The sequence below is a fragment of the Homo sapiens genome, chromosome 2, assembly GCF_000001405.40.
Source record: "Homo sapiens chromosome 2, GRCh38.p14 Primary Assembly".
In the NCBI taxonomy this organism is placed as follows: Eukaryota; Metazoa; Chordata; class Mammalia; order Primates; family Hominidae; genus Homo; species Homo sapiens.
In genome coordinates, this window is record NC_000002.12 from 38,677,805 (window position 1) to 38,697,107 (window position 19,303).

The window sequence follows — 19,303 nt, forward strand, 5'->3', positions numbered from 1 at the left end:
GGACTCTTACATGATAACTGTTAAAGGCGAATGGCCACAAGCACCATAACAAGCCAGAGAAGACAGGAACATGTGTGAACAAATGAAATAGCAGCCTAGGAGATAGGATTGGAACTGGCCTTGAAGAGCCAATAGCATTTCATTCAATACATGGATATGGGAGAGAATGACTGCACAGTGGCCCTGAGAGGGGTGGGGAAAGACTTTGAACTCTTTTTTTTTTTTTTTTGAGGCAGAGTTTTGCTTTCATTTTCCAGGCTGGAGTGCAATGGCGCCATCTCAGCTCACCACAACCTCCACCTCCTGGGTTCAAGCAATTCTCCTGCCTCAGCCTCCCAAGTAGCTGGGATTACAGGCATTCGCCACCATGCCTGGCTAATTTTGTATTTTTAGTAGAGACAGGGTTTGTTGGTCAGGCTGGTCTCAAACTCCCGACCTCAGGTGATTCACCCACCTCGGCCTCCCAAAGTGCTGGGATTACAGGCATGATCCATCGCACCCGGCCACCAACACATTTTTTTTTAAGATGACAGTTGAATAGGATTTGAAATGGTATAAGAAGATCTAGAGCTGCAGAGTTTCTGGAAATTTGGAAACTACAGGCTCAGGGAAATCCTTCCATAAATAGGAATTATGCTTAACCAATCATATTGGTTTACACAAAAATCTTTCCATTGTGTCCTTTCTCTACAAAAGAAAAACTAGGTAGCAAGTTAAGATTTCATTTCAATTATTTAATTCCTGAAATGTTCCATTTGGGATATTCTATTTCTTTTTTAATTACACATATAACAGGCTTCATATTTTGAGTGTCTTGAAAGTTCAACCTTTCTGGGAGCTAACTAGGGTGTAAAATGAATTTTTCACTAAGCTCAGTGAAAGTATTTCACATACCAGCTGCCTTCACTGTAGGTGAAGGCAGAGACCTCCGTTCCTGCTGGGTTCTCCTTCCTGGCAAATGCCACGTCTGTGAGAGCAAAGTGGACAGATCCTGGGCTCAGAGACCACTCCTGTGGCCCACAGAGGCTATTATCTTTCAAGTCCATAGAGTTTGGCCTCAACTCTTCTGTTGAAAAGGAAGATTCAGACAAAAACTTCACTGAGACTAAGATGTGGAATAGAGGAGACAGCCAGTCCTGAGTTTGAACCCCAGCTCTGTCACAAATAACATGTATAACTTTATTTATTTATTTATTTTTTGACACGGAGTCTCACTCTGTTGCCCAGGCTGGAGTGCAGTGGCGCAATCTTGGCTCACTACAACCTCCACTTCCCAGGTTCAAGTGGTTCTCCTGCCTCAACCTCCCGAGTAGCTGGGATTACAGGCATGAGCCACCATACGTGGCTAATTTTTGTATTTTTAGTAGAGACGAAGTTTCACCATGTTGGCCAGGCTTGTCTCGAACTCTTGACCTCAAGTGATCTGCCCGCCTTGGCCTCCCAAAGTGCTGTGATTACAAGTGTGAGCCACTGCACCCGGCCACATGTGTGACTTTAAACAAGATTTTTTTTTCCTTCTAAACAATGGACAGGTAGTATGAAACTCCCCACCGCCCCCGACACACACTAGGAATGTAGAAGGTAGATGTGGGTATAAGTTAACTCCACTGAACTCAATTTGCTCATCTGTAAAATGGAGGTAAATAATATTTGTTGAAGCCACATGAAATTGCCAGTGTTCAACTGTTTTGACCTACAATGATGGTCATTTCATTTGGGCAACCAAATCTTTACCTTGCAAGATGATTTATGTAAAGCACCAGGTCATTGACTATTGAGCACTCAACAAGTTGGAGGTCTCATGCCTGCAACAGGCCCCTTCTTTAGTGATCCCAGAGCTCTCTAAAGGCACTGGGAATCTCTGGCCAACTCATCCCCTGATAGTATAGAGTAAGGGAACAGTCTCAGGATCCAGTCCAATGCCACACACTAGCTGTGTGGCCTGGGGCAAGCGGTTTATCCTCACTGAGCCTCCATTCTTTCATTATTCAATGAGGATGATGTTACCTACTTTAAGTCTGCTTTGAGACAGATAGACAGTGTCTGTGAAGTTTGTAGCAAAGAGTCTTGACTCATAATGGGCACCCGATAAGTGTTCGTTTTCCCTTCCCTATAAGTGTAATCTTGGAGCCTCTAGGACAAAGTTGAGAACAGCCACTATGTTAATCCAAGATTCCAATTCCTATTTCCAAAAGCAAAATGCCTTTTATTTATTTATTTACTTTTTTGAGACAATGTCTTACTCTGTCACCCAGATTGGAGTGCAATGGTGTGTGCGATCTCGGCTCACTGCAGCCTCAACCTCCTGGGCTCAAGCGATCCTCCCTTCTCAGCCTCCCGAGTAGCTAGGACTACAGGTATGCACCACCATACCTCGCTAATTTTTTTAAACTTTTTCATAGAGATGACATCTCACTATGTTGCCCAGGCTGGTCTTGAATTCCTGAGCTCAAGCGATCCTCCTGCCTCAGCCTCCCAAAGTGTTGGGATTACAGGCATGAGCTATTGCACCTGACCACAAAAAAAAACTTTAAAAATAAACTCTTCTTCATACTTTTTTTTGCCAGTCTTAGAATCATATTTTCTGGAACAAGAAGAAACTTCGAGATAATTTCTTCAACCCCTTTATTTTATGAAAGAGATTAATGCCTAGAGTCACACAATGAGCTAGGGACAAATGAGGCCCCTCAAATCAGGACTCTTGACTTGTAGGCTACAACTCTTCTTAATGGCACAAATGCCTTATTTGTTTTGAACTCTGCCTAGGGAACACAGAGAGCCTTGTAGGGATTTTAATAAATATTTGTATATATACCCCTAGGAGACAGGGGCTGATTTATTAAAGTTTTTTTTAATACTCTCAGCAGATATTGCTATATGGCGTTTAGCAGAGTGGGGCTACAAGATTAAAAAAAAAAATCAAAGAAAAATCATCAAAGAAGAGGAGAGGAAAATATTGTAGACACACATCGTACAAAGTTAGAGAAAAGAGAATGGGGAGTGTGAGAAGGTAGAGAAAAACAAACATTTGTAATAATTAAAATCCAGGGACCAGGTGCGGTGGCTCATGCCTGTAATCTCAGCACCTTGGGAGGCCGAGGCAGGTGGATCACTTGAGGTCAGGAGTTCGAGACCAGCCTGGTCATCATGGCAAAACCCCGTCTCTACGAAAAATGCAAAAATTAGCCAGGTACAGTGGCTCATGCCTGTAATCATACTCGGGAGGCTGAGGCTTGAGAATTGCTTGAACCTGGGAGGTGGAGGTTGCAGAGCCAAGACTGTATCACTGCACTGCAGCCTGGACAACATAGTGAGACCCTGTCTCAAAAAAAAAAAAAATCCAGGCTATCATTAAAAAGTCTTAATTGATTGTATAACCATTTTCCTTGTGAAATCAGTTGTCTTTAAATATTGAAATATGGCATTTAGCTTGAGGATGGAGCAACTACACAACTTTGAAAACACTTTTTTCCAGGTGCTCTGGACCCCTCGGGTGCTGTCAAATGGCGTCCAGTTCTCGCGCATCAGTCCAGATGGTGAAGAAGGCTACCCCGGAGAGTTAAAAGTCTGGGTGACATACACCCTGGATGGCGGAGAGCTCATAGTCAACTACAGAGCACAAGCCAGTCAGGCCACACCAGTCAACCTGACCAACCATTCTTACTTCAACCTGGCAGGCCAGGTAAGTGAACTTGTTTCTTCTTTCCTGCTTCGTGCTTTGTGGAATGTCCTGGGCTGTGGCTAGAGAGATCAGAGTAGTGTGGAATTGCTGTGGCAGTGAGGTCACCCTCATGATGATGAAAAGGGCCCAGCAGAGGGCTTATAGTAGGTGCTCAATAATTGAAAATTATAGAGAAAGACAGAATGATTACATTGTACTGCCAAGAGAAGTACCTGTTTCCCGTTTGCTTCAGACAAGTAACTAGCTGTTTCAAGAACTCCCTCTCAGAATCTAATTGTAACATGTGCTTATATTTGCTTCCCTTATTCCACGTCTACTCCCTGCAAATTTGTTCCAATTAAGGTGCCTTCCACCCTTGGAGCTTTGGAAATGGGCATGGTCCAGCTCCTTTAGATATGCTGCCAATATGTGTGTGCTTCCCCTGTGAGCCTGCCAGCTCCTCCCAGGGGTTTGGGTGGGCCAGTCCTGCCCTGCGCAGTACCGTGGAAAGAGCACTGGACTTGGATTTAGAAGACCTGGTTTTTTTAGCTTAATAAAGGCATATTCTCAATTTCATAGTAATAACACTACCTACTATTTGTCAGCTGCTGTTAGAAGCCCTTTATGAAGTTGTTGGTTAAGACACTAAAATCAACCCAGCAGAGGGATAAACCCCAGTGGGGGACCACTTGAACTGCCCACATAAGAGTGGTGTAGAGCTGCTGACAACCCCCCTTAAGTGATCCCTTCTGAACTACCTCATTCCCTCCTAAAGGTAACAGTTTAGCTCATTGAGGAGGATATCATATCAGACAGAATAAAAAGCTTAGCTAAACTCTGTAGATTATATCTATTACTTCCTCTTTATCTGAAGAACTCATCATTGTCTACTATACTTGACTCACTTTGGCCTGATTTTCTACCGCAAGATGGTGTTCACAGTCAGCTAGTAATATCTCACCTTTTTATACTGTTTCAGGAGTTTGCTGATGATCTGCTGGATTCTGTTTTCTAGAATTTTCCCAAATTGCAGAGTTAATTGGTTCTTGTAAAATTTCCAAAGTTCTCCCTTTAAAAAAGTTGACCCTTCACTTGCGGGTTCCTTATCCTCAGGAACTTTCACCATCCTTCTTGAAATCTTAAAAACAAGGCCAGGTGCTGTGGCTCATGCCTGTAATCCCGGCACTTTGGGAGGCCGAGATGAGTGAATCACCTGAGGTTAGGAGTTTGAGACCAGCCTGACCAACATAGTGAAACCCCGTCTCTACTAAAAATACAACATAAGCTGGGCATGGTAGCGTGGGCCTGTAATCCCAGCTATTCGGGAGGCTGAGACAGGAGAATCACTTGAACCTGGAAGGCGGAGGTTGCAGTGAGCTGAGACTGCGCCATTGCACTCCAGCCTGAGCAACAAGAGTGAAACTCCGTCTTTAAAAAAAAAAAAAAAATCTTAAAAACGAAACAAAAGACAAAAACAAAACAAAAACCCTCAGACCTAAGAGGATCTACTTCTTAAAATAAGTTCAGAAACAAACGACAGAAATAGAAGAAAGTATTGTTTTATGTAGGTAAAAAACTCGGTGATAATTCTGTTTTTTACATTTTTTGCATACTTAGGACATCCTATTTAATAATAGGGAGGGGAGATCTAAAGGAATAGATTAGAAATAAAAAGAGAAATTATGCATGCAGTATTCCATCTGCCAGTGTGTTCCAATGAAGGAGACAATATGGGAATGTTAGGTTTACTAAGGCTTTTTACGACTCTTCCAATCCTGCAGGGACTTGGAGTGACGGGTATTTCTGAATCTCTTTTCAGAGGCTGAATAGTTTCCTAGATCATAGACCCCACCCAAAAGCGCGGTCAATGAACTTCCTTCCGTATACCACAGATTGAATATCCCTTATCCAAAATACTTGAGGCCAGAAATGTTTTGGATTTTGGAGATTTTCAGATTTTGGAATATTTGCGTTATATATACTTATTTGTTCAGCATTCCTAATCTGAAAACTCGAAATCTGGAATGCTCCAGTGACTACTTCTGAGCGTCATGTTGGCACTCAAAAAGCTCAGATTTTGGAGCATTTCAGATTTTAGATTGTCCTCTTTTTTTTTTTGAGGTGGAGTTTCACTCTTGTTGCCCAGGCTGGAATGCAGTGGCACGATCTCGGCTCACTGCAACCTCCACCTTCTGGGTTCAAGCAATTCTCCTGCCTCAGCTTCCCTAGTAGCTGGGATTACAGGCGCCCACGACCACGCCCAGCTAATTTTTGTATTTTTGGTAGAGATGGGGTTTCACCATGTTGCCCAAGCTGGTCTCGAACTCCTGACCTCGGGTGATCCACCCGCTTCAGCCTCCCAAAGTGCTAGGATTACAGGCGTGAGCCACCGCACCTGGCCCCAGATTTTAGATTTTCAGATTAGGGATTTTCAACCTCTATCTTAGTAAGCGTAGCTTGAATCCACAGCCACTAACTTCAGGTTTGAAGGTGGATGGGGGCACCAGCCTTCCAAGGCACTCCGGTAGGAGTGGATGATCACCAAGCCAGACCTGGAGTCAAGGGCCTCTGCATCTTCAGAATATCTCTTGCCATACCTTGAGAAGCATTATCATATATCTCAAACCCTCCCCAGGCACATAGCTCAAAACCTGATATTTAAATTAGTCAGCTCATCTTATATATTTTTGTTTGTTTTTTAAATTTAATAAGTGGTATTTTTGTTCTATTTGGGCCCAAGTATTGCTCATCACTTCTAAGTTTGAGGGTTGGAGACCTGGGGAGGAGGGGAGAACTGGCTTTGTCAAAGAATATAAAAGGTATGTAGGTTGCAGGTCGTTTTTTGTTTTATTTTATTTTTCTGTTCCTTCCTGTGCCTAACACAAAACTGGGATAACTTTTTTTTTATTGAAACTTTACCTAAAGACCTGGGTGTGGTGGCTCATGCCTGTAATCCCAGCACTTTGGAAGGCCAAGGTGGGAGCATCACTGGAGCCCAGGAGTTCAAGACCAGACCGGGCAACATAGAGAGATCCCCCATCTCTAAAAACAAACAAACAGGCTGGGTGCGGCAGCTCACGCCTGTAATCCCAGCACTTGGGAGGCCAAGGTGGGCAGATCACTTGAGGTCAGGAGTTCAAGACCAACCTGCCCAACATGGTAAAAACCCGTCTCCACTAAAAATACAAAAAATTAGCTGGGCGTTGTGGTAGATGCCTGCAATCCCAGCTAATCAGGAGGCCGAGGCATGAGAATTGCTTGAACCCAGGAGACGGAGGTTGCAGTGAGCCAAGATTGCGCCACTGGACTCCATCTTGGATGACACAGTGAGACTGTGTTTTTATAAACAATAAAAACAAACAAACAAAAAAACAACAGAAACTTTACCGAAAGAGTTATGAAAGCAGGTCTGGGGGAATTCGAGATGAAAAGCAATAGCATGTGGTACATGACAGGTAGACATGTCATTAAGGACCCAGGTTCTTCCAGTTTTCCATCTGCTTCCTCAGTATTTTGGCTTTTGTCTTCAGGCTTGTCCCCTCATGGCCACAGCTCCAGGAATCACCTCCTCATATAGTCACATCCAGAGACAAAAAGACCCATTCCATTTTTCATATCTCTAATGTCCTCTTTTTAAGAAAAAGCAATGCTTTTCCTAGAAGCCCTCCAGCCAACTTTCTCTGATTTCTCATTGGCCAGAAGTGTGGCCTATGCTCTGCCTAACCCAATCGCCAGCAAGGGAATTAGGCCATGATGATTGGCTTAGACCAGTCAAAATTTGCCCTCTGGAAATGGAGCGGGGGTGGGTCCTCTTCCCTGAATATCTGGTCTAGCATAGGATAAATCAACAAGCCTAGTTTCTGCCTGGGGGCACAGAGTTGCTGGTAAAAGAGTTGCCATGGCTTGTGGGTAGTAACCCACAGTGTCTGTACCCTCCTGCTAGAGGTGATGAGAGCTGAGTTAAGGCTGTGGTAGTGATATTGCACAATGTCTTTAAAGTCCCCTGCAAATCATAATGGGCTCTATAAATGGTTAATGTTACAAACAGGTAGCAGCCAAGCAAAGTTAACCAAAACAAACACTGAACCCAGAGATGGGCCTCAAGGTCTGTTTGTGAATCAGCATTTCTTGCCAAGTTTTCATCAGCCTTGAAAGGAAATGATTCCAACAGTAATATTCCACCAGAGTAGATCATTGCGTTTTTCCAGCCTAGAAGAGTCATAAAAAGAAGCATGCATTTTTATTTTTATTTTTTATTTTTTATTTTTTTGAGACGGAGTCTCACTCTGTCTCCCAGGCTGGAGTGCAGTGGCGCAATCTCGGCTCACGGCAATCTCCGCCTCCCAAGTTCCAGGGATTCTCCCGCCTCAGCCTCTGGAGTAGCTGGGATTACAGGCACGTGCCCCTGGCTAATTTTTTGTATTTTTAGTAGAGATGGGGTTTCACCATGTTGGCCAGGCTGGTCTTGAACTCCTGACCTGAAGTGATCCGCCCATCTCGGCCTCCCAAACTTCTGGGATTACAGGCCTGAGCCACCATGCCTGGCCACAAAGCATGCATCTCTTTAACGAAGGAATGTTACTACTGCTTGGTGACCCAGTGACCCTTAAGAGGGTGGGTGCCTGATGAATGTTCTTTTCCTTCTCCTCCTAGGCTTCTTCCTAAATCTCAGGCTCATCAGTTTATTTGGAGTGTGATTTTCATGTTGATTCATTTCTCTAGTGCTTAAAAAAAAAAAACCACAGAAAGTGGAAATTTCTTTCTTTCTTTCTTTCTTTCTTTCTTTCTTTCTTTCTTTCTTTCTTTCTTTCTTATTTTGAGATGGAGTCTCGCTCTGTCTCCCAGGCTGGAGTGCAGTGGCGCGATCTTGGCTCACTGCAACCTCCGCCTCCCGGGTTCACGACATTCTCCTGCCTCAGCCTCCCGAGTAGCTGGGACTACAGGCGCCCACCACCATGCCCAGCTACTTTTTTGTATTTTTAGTAGAGATGGGGTTTCACCGTGTTAGCCAGGATGGTCTGATCTCCTGACCTCGTGATCCACCCACCTTGGCCTCCCAAAGTGCTGGGATTACAAGCATGAGCCACCGTGCCTGGCCAGAAAGTGGAAATTTCTAAGCAGCTTTATTTATAATAGTAAAACACTGGAAGCAACCCAGAAGTCTATCAACAGGAGAATGGATAAACAAATTGTGATACAGTCATACAACGGAATACTACTCAACAATACAAAGGAATATAACATGGATGATCCCAGTAGCATTATGTTGTGTGGAAATAACAAGGCACCAAAGAATATGTACTGCATACTTCTGTTTCTAAGGAGGCAGGCACCTAGGAAACAGAGTGAAGACCTGAATTAATGCTAGGCCAGGAGTCTGGAGAATGGCTTTGCCTCCTGCAGGTGTCCTCATTGGATGACATTACATAGCTTGTGTTCCTCCAGGCTTATTTGTGCACAGGAAGTATGGAGGTGCTTTGGTCCACCTGGGTTCTCTTTTTCTAACACTATTCAGCTCTGTATGTGGGCTGCAGCTCCCAGTTTAGCGCCACCAAGGCCTGGAACCCAACCTTCACACCCCTTGTCTCGACTGACCCAAAGCCCTCTGTGTTGAGCTGAGTAGTGAACAAATAGGGCCAAGGAAATACAGTAGTCCCAAATTCTCTTCCCTCAGCTCCTCTCCCACAGTCCCAGGGGCATCTCCAGGTGCTGGCACCACCCTGAGGCATGCGAGGATGGCAGGAGAGAGAGCCGCACAGAAGAGACATCCTCTCTAGGCTAGACCTGCTCTAGGCAGGGGTACAGACCCTCTCCCATCTTGGACCTGCTGCCCCAGCTCACAGCAGAGTGAGCTGTAGAAAGTGCAGAGGAGAGGCCTTTGCCCTGGCTTTGTCCCCCACCCACTCATACCCCTGCCCAGCACACACCCACTGGGAGAAAACAAGAGCATCATAGTTCTTCTGGACAGGCATGGTGGCTCAAGTCTGTAATCCCAGCACTTTGGGAGGCCAAGGCAGGCAGATTACTTGAGGTCTGGAGTTCGAGACCAGCCTGGCCAACATGGTGAAACCCCATCTCTACTAAAAATACAAAAATTAGCCTAGCATGGTGGTGGGCACCTGTAATCCCAGCTACTTAAGGAGGCTAAGGCAGGAGAATTGCTTGAACCCTGGAAGTGGAGGTTGCAGTGACCCAAGATTGCGCCACTGCACTCCAGCCTGGGCGACACAGTAAGACTCTGCCTCCGAAAAAAAAAAAAAGAGAATCGTAGTTTTTCAGAAAAAGAGCCTACTAGTGGTGTAATTAAACCAGTTTCTGTCGTGTTTAGACATGCATTCTCATGGTCTCTAAAATCTTGACCTTTCTTTTCAGAATTACTCAGTTGGATTGTGTGGGCCAGTCTTTCAGACCATAGAATCTGTTTCCAGCTAACCTGTCCTAACCCTGTCTCAAAAAAACCAGTCGGCCGGGCACAGTGCCTCACACCTGTAATCCCAGCACTTTGGGAGGCTGAGGTGGGTGGATCACCTGAGGTCAGGAGTTTAAGACTAGCCTGACCAACATGGTGAAACCCCATCTCTACTAAAAATACAAAAATTAGCCAAGTGTGGTGGCACACGCTTGTAATCCCAGCTGCTCGGGAGGCTGAAGCAGGAGAATTGCTTGAACCTGGGAGGCAGAGACTGCAGTGAGCCAAGATTACACTACTTCACTCCGGCCTGGGCGACAGAGTGAGACTCCGTCTCAAAAAAAAAAAAAATGTGTACTGGGTGCGGTGACTCACACCTGTAATCCCAGCACTTTGGGAGGCCGAGGTGAGCAGATCACCTGAGGTCGCGAGTTCGAGACCAGCCTGACCAACATGGAGAAACCCCGTCTCTACTAAAAATACAAAATTAGCCAGACGTGGTGGTGCATGCCTGTAATCCCAGCTACTAGGGAGGCCGAGGCAGGAGAATCACTTGAACCCGAGAGGCGGAGGTTGCAGTGAGCCGAGATCGCGCCATTGCATTCCGGCCTTGGCAACAAGAGCGAAACTCGGTCTCAGAAAAAAAAAAAAAGTCAAATGTCAAATATCCCCTGAGAGACAAAATTATCCCCAATTGAGAACCACTAGTTTAGCTCATCTTTGAGCATTCACTGAGCAAAAGCCCTCACTTGGTTTCCCTTCCACATCTTCTGGTGTGAAGCTTTAAAATATGTTGCTATTGATAATATAAAATAATATTTGTACTAGAAACATGCATGTATAAAGTTATTTGCCGATTTGCAAACAACACAATGCACCTTTCCTACACTGTTATTCACAAGGACCCTGGAAAAGGTAGAGGCATCATTAGCCCAAATTTATTTTATTTTATTTATTTTGAGATGGAGTTTTGCTCTTGATGCCCAGGCTGGAGTGCAATGGCACGCGCGATCTTGGCTCACCGCAACCTCCACCTCCCGGGTTCAAGCAATTCTCCTGCCTCAGCCTCCTGAGTAGCTGAGATTACAGGCATGTGCCACCACACCTGGCTAATTTTGTATTTTTAGTAGAGACGGGGCTTCTTCTTTTTGGTCAGGCTGGTCTCGAACTCCTGACCTCAGGTGATCCGCCTGCCTCGGCCTCCCAAAATGCTGGGATTACAGGCATGAGCCACCGCGCCCGGCCTCATTAGCCCAATTTTAAACCAAAGGAAATGAGAGTCTATGAGGTTAAATGAATTCCCTGGGACCACTCAGGAAGAGCTGGAACTACACCCCAGGCCTTCTGACACTGACCAGTACACCAGCCTTTGACTCCCCTGCAAAGGCCAGGCTGCATCTTCATGGAGGAGGTGGGCAAATTCTCAAAAGCAGGGACTGCGGTTCTGACACCTGGGCTTCTGTCATGGAGCAGAGAGTGGGGCCTCTGTGTGGAAACTGGGCTAGAGGGGGGTGCCAGGTGCACCCCCAGGAGTGAGCCTGGAGCAGTACCCTGACCTCTCAGGATGTGTGTGTTCCTGGTTACCAGTCATTGCTCTTCTGTTTGCCTGGCAAGTGAGAAGAATAGAAGAAACACCTCCACTAATAAGCCAAGGTCCAAAAGGCTTTCAAACCACTGTGGTCTCTGACTTTTCACCTTCATATTCTATTTAGAAAAGAAAATGCATGCACACTTGAAAGTTTCTTCCAAATTTATCTGTTGCTATTTTGAGGCCTTATCTACCTCCACTTAGTTGATTATATTTAATCATGACCATCAGCCAAACAAGATTTTAAAAGTTTTTGTCAATGCCTGAAAACATTTTTGCAAGATAAGTTAAAAAACAAATATATGAAATAAGACTAAGCAGAAAACCTTTCCCCTACCTTTTCCTCCCAGGCTTCCCCAAATATAAATGACCATGAAGTCACCATAGAAGCGGATACTTATTTGCCTGTGGATGAAACCCTGATTCCTACAGGTTGGTGAATTTAACCTTTTTGTGTTATGTGGGATCATGGATTGGCTCTCGAGGCCAAGAAAGGACATTAGTGGAGAAAGCGGTGAAATCTTAATAAAGTCTACAGTTTAGTTAATAGAATTATTCTAGTGGTAATTTCTTAGTTTTGATATGTGTACTGTGTTTATGTAAAATGTTAGCATGAGGGAAAGCTGGGACAGAGATGCAGTATTTTTACCACTTTTCTGTAAGTCTAAAATTATTTCAAAATTTCAAAAATTTTTAAAAAATGGTGAGTAAGATAATACTTTACTGGGGCTGGGCGCGGTGGCTCACGCCTGTAATCCCAGCACTTTGAGAGGCCAAGGCGGTTGGATCACTTGAGGCCAGGAGTTTGAGATCAGCCTGAGCAACATGGTGAGACCCCGTCTTATTTTTTTTTAAGATTAAAAAAAAATTTTTTTAATGCAAAAGAAACTAAAGTTAAAAAAAATTTTAAATAACTTTACTGGATACTCATCTTACACTAGGTAACAGCTTTTGTTTTAGCTGGCTTTTTTGGGAGGGGGGCGGTGCGGGAGGGGATAGGGTCTCATTCTGTTGCCCAGGCTGGAGTACAGTGGCACAATCTCAGCTCACTGCTGCCTAGACCTCCTCCCCAGGCTCAGATGATTCTCCCATCTCCACTTCCTGAGTAGCTGGGACCACAGGCACACACCACCACGCCTGTTGTATTTTTAGTAGAGACAGTGTTTTACCACGTTGCCCAGGCTGGTCTCAAACTCCTGGACTCAAGCAATCTGCCCGCCTCAGCCTCTCAGAGGGCTGGGATTACAGGTGTAAGCCACTGCGCCCGGCCACTTTGGCCTCTTTAATGGGTTGAGTTTATGGCTGCTAGTTCAAACTTTTTATGAGGAAGAAAGGTAAGCATGTGAGCCTGCATACCCAACAGCAACTTCAGGTAACAGCAGGCATTAGGAACTCCCATAAATATAGTGACTACAAAACTAATTGGAATAATAATGAAAAATTGAGCTCAATGGGGTCAAATTTTTGGCATCACAGTTTTTGAATATTTTCCTGGCTCCAGGGCTGAGTTTAAAGGCTTTTCTGTTTGTCTTGGTAGCATGTGTCATCTTGTGATATTTACATGACTCAATAGAAGGGCATGAGTAAGCTGGCCCATCTGGTCCTAGAGGCAGAATTACTGCAGTAGAACTATATGTTGTGAACTGCAAGGAAAAAATAGTGGTGGCTGCTGTTTTGTGACTGATAAGGAAGAAAGTGAATCAATTAGCTTATAAGTGGAGGTTATGAAATAAGTGCATATTTATTTGTGTATATTTATAAAATCTTCTCATGCTATCCGGTTGAGTTGATCAGATGAAAATCACAACAGGGCATAATTTGTGCATTTAAAGGCCTGTAAAGGCCAAGTTATTTTACTTGATTGTAAAAAATCATTGTGGCAAAGCACAGTAGGCTTAACATGCACTCTAATGGACTGCATAAAACTTGCGTTCGCTGGGTATGGTGGCTCACACCTGTAATCCCAGCACTTTGGGAGGCTGAGGCAGAGGAGGATCACTTGAGCCCAGGAGTTCGAGACCAGACTGTGCAACACAGTGAGATCCCATCTCAACAAAAAATTGAAAAAAAAAATAGCCAGGTGTGGTAACACGCACCTGGGGTCCCAGCTACTCAAGAGGCTGAAGCAGGAGGATCTCTCGAGCCCAGGAGTTGGAGGCTGCAGTGAGCCGTGATCTCTGCTGCACTCTACCCTGGGCAACAGAGCAAGACCCTATCTCAAAAAAAAACCTAATTGGGAATATATGTGTTATATTTCAGTAGTTTTTTTTTTTTTTTAAAAAAGACCAAACTACCATTTATAATCACCATCTTTTCATGAAAGAATATTTTAGTACCATAAAAGTGTAAACAAATTTAATCTCAGAATAAGGAACAACTCTTTATGTTGAATTTATGTAGCTTTTTAAAAAATAATATGGTACCACTTGGAGCCAATACTATAAAAAAAATAAATAGCAGATTATCCAAACGTATCTCAGTTTTCTGGGGACCAGTGAAAATGTTATCACTAACTCATAATTCAGAACTAGTAATTGATCTGTAAGGCCACTTCTCTCTCTTGCATTCTCCAATTCTACGAGGCTCCTAGCATGACATTTTACTGCTATTTCCACAACTCTTCAAATCCTTTAGAGCTCTATCATTGAAGTAAATAAGTTGCTGCAACTTCAGAGCTCATGAAAAATTTGTAATTCTCTCCTACCTATCCATACTTGAGTCAGACCTACATGTTATACCTGTTTGCCGAGTGACACTTAAGCAGAAATTGTAGTATTGTTTTCTCTTTTCTCAGAAGTCCTTAAGAAACAAGCTAATTGTCTGATTCCTTTGAAACTTCCTCCAAAAATGGGTGGTAGTAACTGCTACCCTGCACTTTAGGAATGTAAGAATTCACATGTCTGGCCCACTTTCCACTGAGAACAAATCTCTAGGAGCCCAGATTTTCTCTCTTTTTTTCTTTCTGTTTTGTAGAGACAGGGTCTCCCTATGTTGCCTAGGCTGGTCTTGAATCCCTAGGCTCAAGCAATCCTCCCACCTGGGCCTCCCAAAGTGCTGGGATTACAGGTGTGAGCCACCATGCTGGTCCTCATCTGACTCTTAACACTGATCAAAAGCCCATGAGCTTAATTTTGAAAGAAATCCAAAAGGCTTGCCCATCATTTGATCACTCAGAAGTGCTGCTGGGCTCTCTAGGAGTTGGCAGTCTATGGGAAGGGTCAGCCAGAATTGTGTCCATTAATCTGGAAAATATCAGGATAGACATAACTAGGAGACTTGGCACAGAGGGCAGGCACTGCTGAGGGGGCTTCCAGATAGAGGAAATGAGAGTTAAATAAAACCTGGAAGGGAAAGTGGAAGTTTGCCAGGGAGTGAGGAGGAGAAAGGTGTTCCAGATAAAGATGAACAAGCGTGGGCGGTGCAAGAAATAGCAGGACTAGCCCAGGGAAGTGCTGTGCTTTTGAAGCAAAGCATTTGGGGCATAATTTTAGTGGCAGAGAGTGGATGGGCCTGGAGAGGTTGATTGGGGCCATGTCAGATCTGTACCAGGCTCTGTGGAACTGCAATCCCTAGGGTGGCCCTGGGTGGCCCCAGGCTGGCCTGGAGCTCAAGGCCGATCCACATAGCTGACTCACAGGTGTGCCTGAGTCCAGTCTCAAACTTCAGCGTGTTCTGCCAGAGCTGGACTGAACCACAAGGCCACTTTCCTGAGACGTGCTACAAGAACCTGTTAGACCAGGTCGGGTGCAGTGGCTAATGCCTGTAATCCCAGCAATTTGGGAGGCCGAGGTGGGCAAATTACTTGAGATCAGGAGTTCGAGACCAGCCTGGCTAACATGGTGAAACCCTGTCTCTACTAAAAATTCAAAAATTAGCTGGGTGTGATGGTAGGCGCCTGTAATCCCAGTTACTTGGGAGGCTGAGGCAGGAGAATCGCTTGAACCCAGAAGGCAGAGGTTGCAGTGAGCCCAGATCACGCCACTTTACTCCAGCCTGGGAAACAGAGCGAGACTCTGCTTCCAAAAAAAAAAAAAAAAGAGAGAGAGAAAATAACCTGTTAGACCAGCCATACTCCATTAAGACTTCTCAAAATAAATATGCACTATCTACCGACTGTGGTTTTGTTGAATTGAGAAAAAGAAGATACTGATTATCTGTGAGATAAGGTGAAGCTTTATGATAATAATAGCTAGTATTTCAGGGAGGACTTTATAAATAATTCATACCACAAGCCTGTAAGGTAGGTTCTGTTCATTTTTCTTATTTAACAGATGTGAAAACTATAGAACAAGGAGTTAAAGTACCTTACAGAGGATGACCCAGTTAACAAGTTGGGGAAAGCCGGGATTCACACCAAGGTAGTCTGGTATTAGAACTCAGGCTCTTAAGTAGACCTGCACTCTACAGATCTTACAATGTGGTTAGATGTCAAGAAGGTTTGGTGCCAGGCACAGTGGCTCACACCTTTAATCCCAGCACTTTGGGAGACCAAAGATTGGTTGAGCCCAGGAGTTCAAGAGCAGCCTGGGCAACATAGGGAGACCCTGTTAATACAAAACATTTTTTTGAATTAGCCAGGAGTGTTGGTGCATGCCTGTGGTCCCAGCTATTTGGGAGGCTGAGGTAAGACAATTGCTTGAGCCCAGGAGGTCAAGGCTGCAGTGAGCTGTGATTGTGCCACTGCACTTCAATGTGGGTGAAGAGCAAGACCCTGTCTCAAAAAAAAAGAAGAAGATTTGGGAGGTAGGGGAGAGGCAGAAAGGAGTGAGGAAAGAAAGAAAAGAAAAGTAAATTAATTTCTTTACTATATAAATACCCAAGTGCAACATATAGTCAATAAATGAGAAGTAAGCCAAAACAAAGAACAGACTTTTGCCAGCTGTCAATCCTCAGCTCTTTTGCCACCTTTTGTACAGGGAGCCTCCCCAGTCCTCTCACTGTCTCCTCCTTGTTCCTTCCTCCCTTCAATTTATTTCTACTTTTCTGCAAAGAAAACAGGAAACCAAGTTTGTTTAAATTAAATATAAGAAAGGGAGAGAGAGAAAGAGGAAGGAAGGAAAGGAAAAAGGGAAGGAGGGAGAGGTTTTCTTGAAATTAAAGAGCATGAATTTAAGTGTCTGGCCTTGTCAGTCTGACAAGAAAGGGAAAGTCAGGCTGGGCGCAGTGGCTCAAGCCTGTAATCCCAGCACTCTGGGAGGCCGAGGCGGATGGATCACGAGGTCAGGAGATCGAGACCATCATGGCTAACATGGTAAAACCCCGTCTCTACTAAAAATACAAAAAAATTAGCCAGGCGTGGTGGCAGGCGCCTATAGTCCCAGCTACTCGGCAGGCTGAGGCAGGAGAATGGCGTGAACCCGGGAGGTGGAGGTTGCAGTGAGCCAAGATCGGGCCACTACACTCCAGCCTGGGCAACAGAGCAAGACTCCGTCTCAAAAAAAAAAAAAAAACAAAAAAAGAAAGGGAAAGTCAAGGGAAAGTCACCTCAGGTGTCATTGTTCTGTTGCAGCATATGGTGTTCCTGACAGATCCCTTGTCTTTCTGGTTCTTGGTTTTCTCATATGCAGAATCTTGTTATGAACAAGTTGTGTTGAAAGTTCACATTCTTTAAGTATGTATGTTGGTCATCTCTGTTGAAAATGATAGAAAAATCACCTTCGGTAGAAAATTTACAAACAGGCCGGGTGCAGTGTCTCATGCTTGTAATCCCAGCACTTCAGGAGGTGGAGGCGGTTGGATTTTTGAGCCCAAGACTTTGAGACCAGCCTTGGCAACACAGTGAAACCCCATCTCTACCAAAAATACAAAAATTAGCCAATCTCACAGCCCAGTCTCAAAATAAATAAATTAAATAAATAAATAAATAAAGTTTCAAAAAAAGAAAGCAAACTTACAGACACAGTTAAAGAAAAGCTGTACCATTTACAGGGTGGCGTTCAGCTATCTGGAGCAGTCCCTTATGGTGGGTACTTCATTTATCCTGGGGAGATGCTGGATAATGAGTTCGTTTTAGACCCTTTGCTCTACCTGGCTTTTCCTGGGGTGGCTGCTTGGTTGTGCTGAAACCCTCAGAAATCAACAGTAGAAAACTTCTCTAAAACAGCTTTGGCCTTTTTGCATATGAATGACTTTTACTGCGTAAATCAGTTATTTTGCTTACCATCCTAGTCCTCTGCTTTCCACCCCAAATCCTTGTTTATGTGTGTGTGGTTTTGTTTGTTTGCTTGTTTGTTTGCTTGTTTGTTTTTTGAGACGGAGTCTCACTCTGTTGCCCAGGCTGGAGTGCAGTGGCTCGATCTCAGCTCTCTGCAGCAACCTCCACCTCCCGGGTTCAAGTGCTTCTCCTGCCTCTGCCTCCTGAGTAGCTGGGACTACAGGCGCGCATGCCACCATACCCGGATAATTTTTGTATTTTTAGTAGAAATGGGGTTTCACCATGTTGACCAGGCTGATCTTGAACTCCTGACCTCAAGTGATCCACCCGCCTTAGCCTCCCGAAGTGCTGGGATTACAGGTGTGAGCCACCACACCCCGCCTGCGTGTTTGTTTTTTAAATCTCTCTTCTTAGGGTCATGAGATTTCTCATTAATTTCACTTAGAGCTCCTGGAGAGAAAAGCCTCTATTATTGTCACTATAACAGTAAAAAAAGTGTAGAGATTTTTTTTTTTCTTTTGAGACAGAGTTTCGCTCTTGTTGCCCAGGCTGGAGTGCAATGGCGTGATCTCAGCTCACTGCAACCTCCACCTCCCGGGTTCAAGCGATTCTCCTGCCTTGGCCTCCCAAGTAGCTGGGATTACAGGCATGTGCCACCACACCTGGCTAATTTTGTATTTTTAGTAGAGATGGGGTTTCACCATGTTGGTCAGGCTGGTCTTGAACTCCTGACCTCAGGTGATCCACCTGCCTTAGCCTCCCAAAGTGCTGGGATCACAGGCATGAGCCACTGTGTCCAGCTTTTCTTTTTCTTTTCTTTTTTTTTTTTTTTTTGAGACAGGGTCTCTTTCTGTTGCCCAAGCTGAAACAGTGACACAATCATAGCTCACTGTAACATCAAACTTCTGGGGCTCAAGCAATCCTCCTGGCTCCGCCTTCCAAATAGCTAGGATTACAGGTGCACATCACCATACCCAGGTAATTTTTTCTTTTTTTACACGAAAATGTCTCAACATGGATTTTTTTTTCTTTTTTGGCAGAGATGATGTCTCACTATGTTGCCCAGGCTGGTCTCAAACTCCCTGCCTCAAGCCATCCTTCCACTTTAGCATCCCAAAGTGCTAGGATTACAGGCGTGAGCCACCGCACCTACCCCCAAGAAAGCTTTTTTTTTTTTTTTTTTTTTTTTTTGAGACAGAGTCTTGCTCTGTCAACCAGGCTGGAGTGCAGTGGCGCGATCTCAGCTCACTGTAACCTCTGCCTCCCATGTTCAAGCAATCCTCCCGCCTCAGCCTCCCGAGTAACTAGAATTACAGGCACATGCCACCACGCCCGGCTAATTTTTGTATTTTTAGTAGAGAGGGGGTTTCACCATGTTGGCCAGGATGGTCTCGAACTCCTGACCTCAAGTGATCCACCTGCTGTGGCCTCCCAAAGTGCTGGGATTATGGGCATGAGCCACTGCACCCGGCCCCCAAGAACTCTTCAAAT

The 19,303-nt window shown here is 44.6% G+C and overlaps 1 protein-coding gene and 1 long non-coding RNA gene across 5 annotated transcripts in view, besides 1 other annotated feature; one reads left to right on the forward strand and one right to left on the reverse strand.

The window, feature by feature from the left end:
• GALM (galactose mutarotase) overlaps window positions 1-19,303 on the forward strand; it is a 68,652-nt gene that overhangs the window by 11,691 nt on the left and 37,658 nt on the right. For all 3 annotated transcript variants that reach the window (NM_138801.3, XM_047443419.1, XM_011532540.3), the window contains exons 3-4: window positions 3,476-3,682; window positions 12,009-12,090. In NM_138801.3, the coding sequence (NP_620156.1) occupies window positions 3,476-3,682; window positions 12,009-12,090 (289 nt within the window). The remainder of the gene's footprint in view (window positions 1-3,475; window positions 3,683-12,008; window positions 12,091-19,303) is intronic.
• The window catches only part of LOC124905993 (uncharacterized), a 49,668-nt gene continuing 36,443 nt past the window's right edge, over window positions 6,079-19,303 (reverse strand). Inside the window, exon 3 of one of the 2 annotated variants that reach the window (XR_007086292.1) lies at window positions 6,079-7,870. This is a non-coding gene — a long non-coding RNA (uncharacterized LOC124905993). Of the gene's footprint in view, window positions 7,871-17,148; window positions 17,289-19,303 lie in introns of those variants that run through there. The other variant, XR_007086291.1, reaches the window with a different exon arrangement.
• Window positions 14,923-15,217: a silencer, noted in NCBI's record as "tiled region #4561; K562 Repressive DNase matched - State 5:Enh". NCBI's record gives its function as "represses a minimal TATA promoter and a strong SV40 promoter by Sharpr-MPRA in K562 cells {active_cell/tissue: K562}" and the evidence as "EXISTENCE:reporter gene assay evidence [ECO:0000049][PMID:27701403]".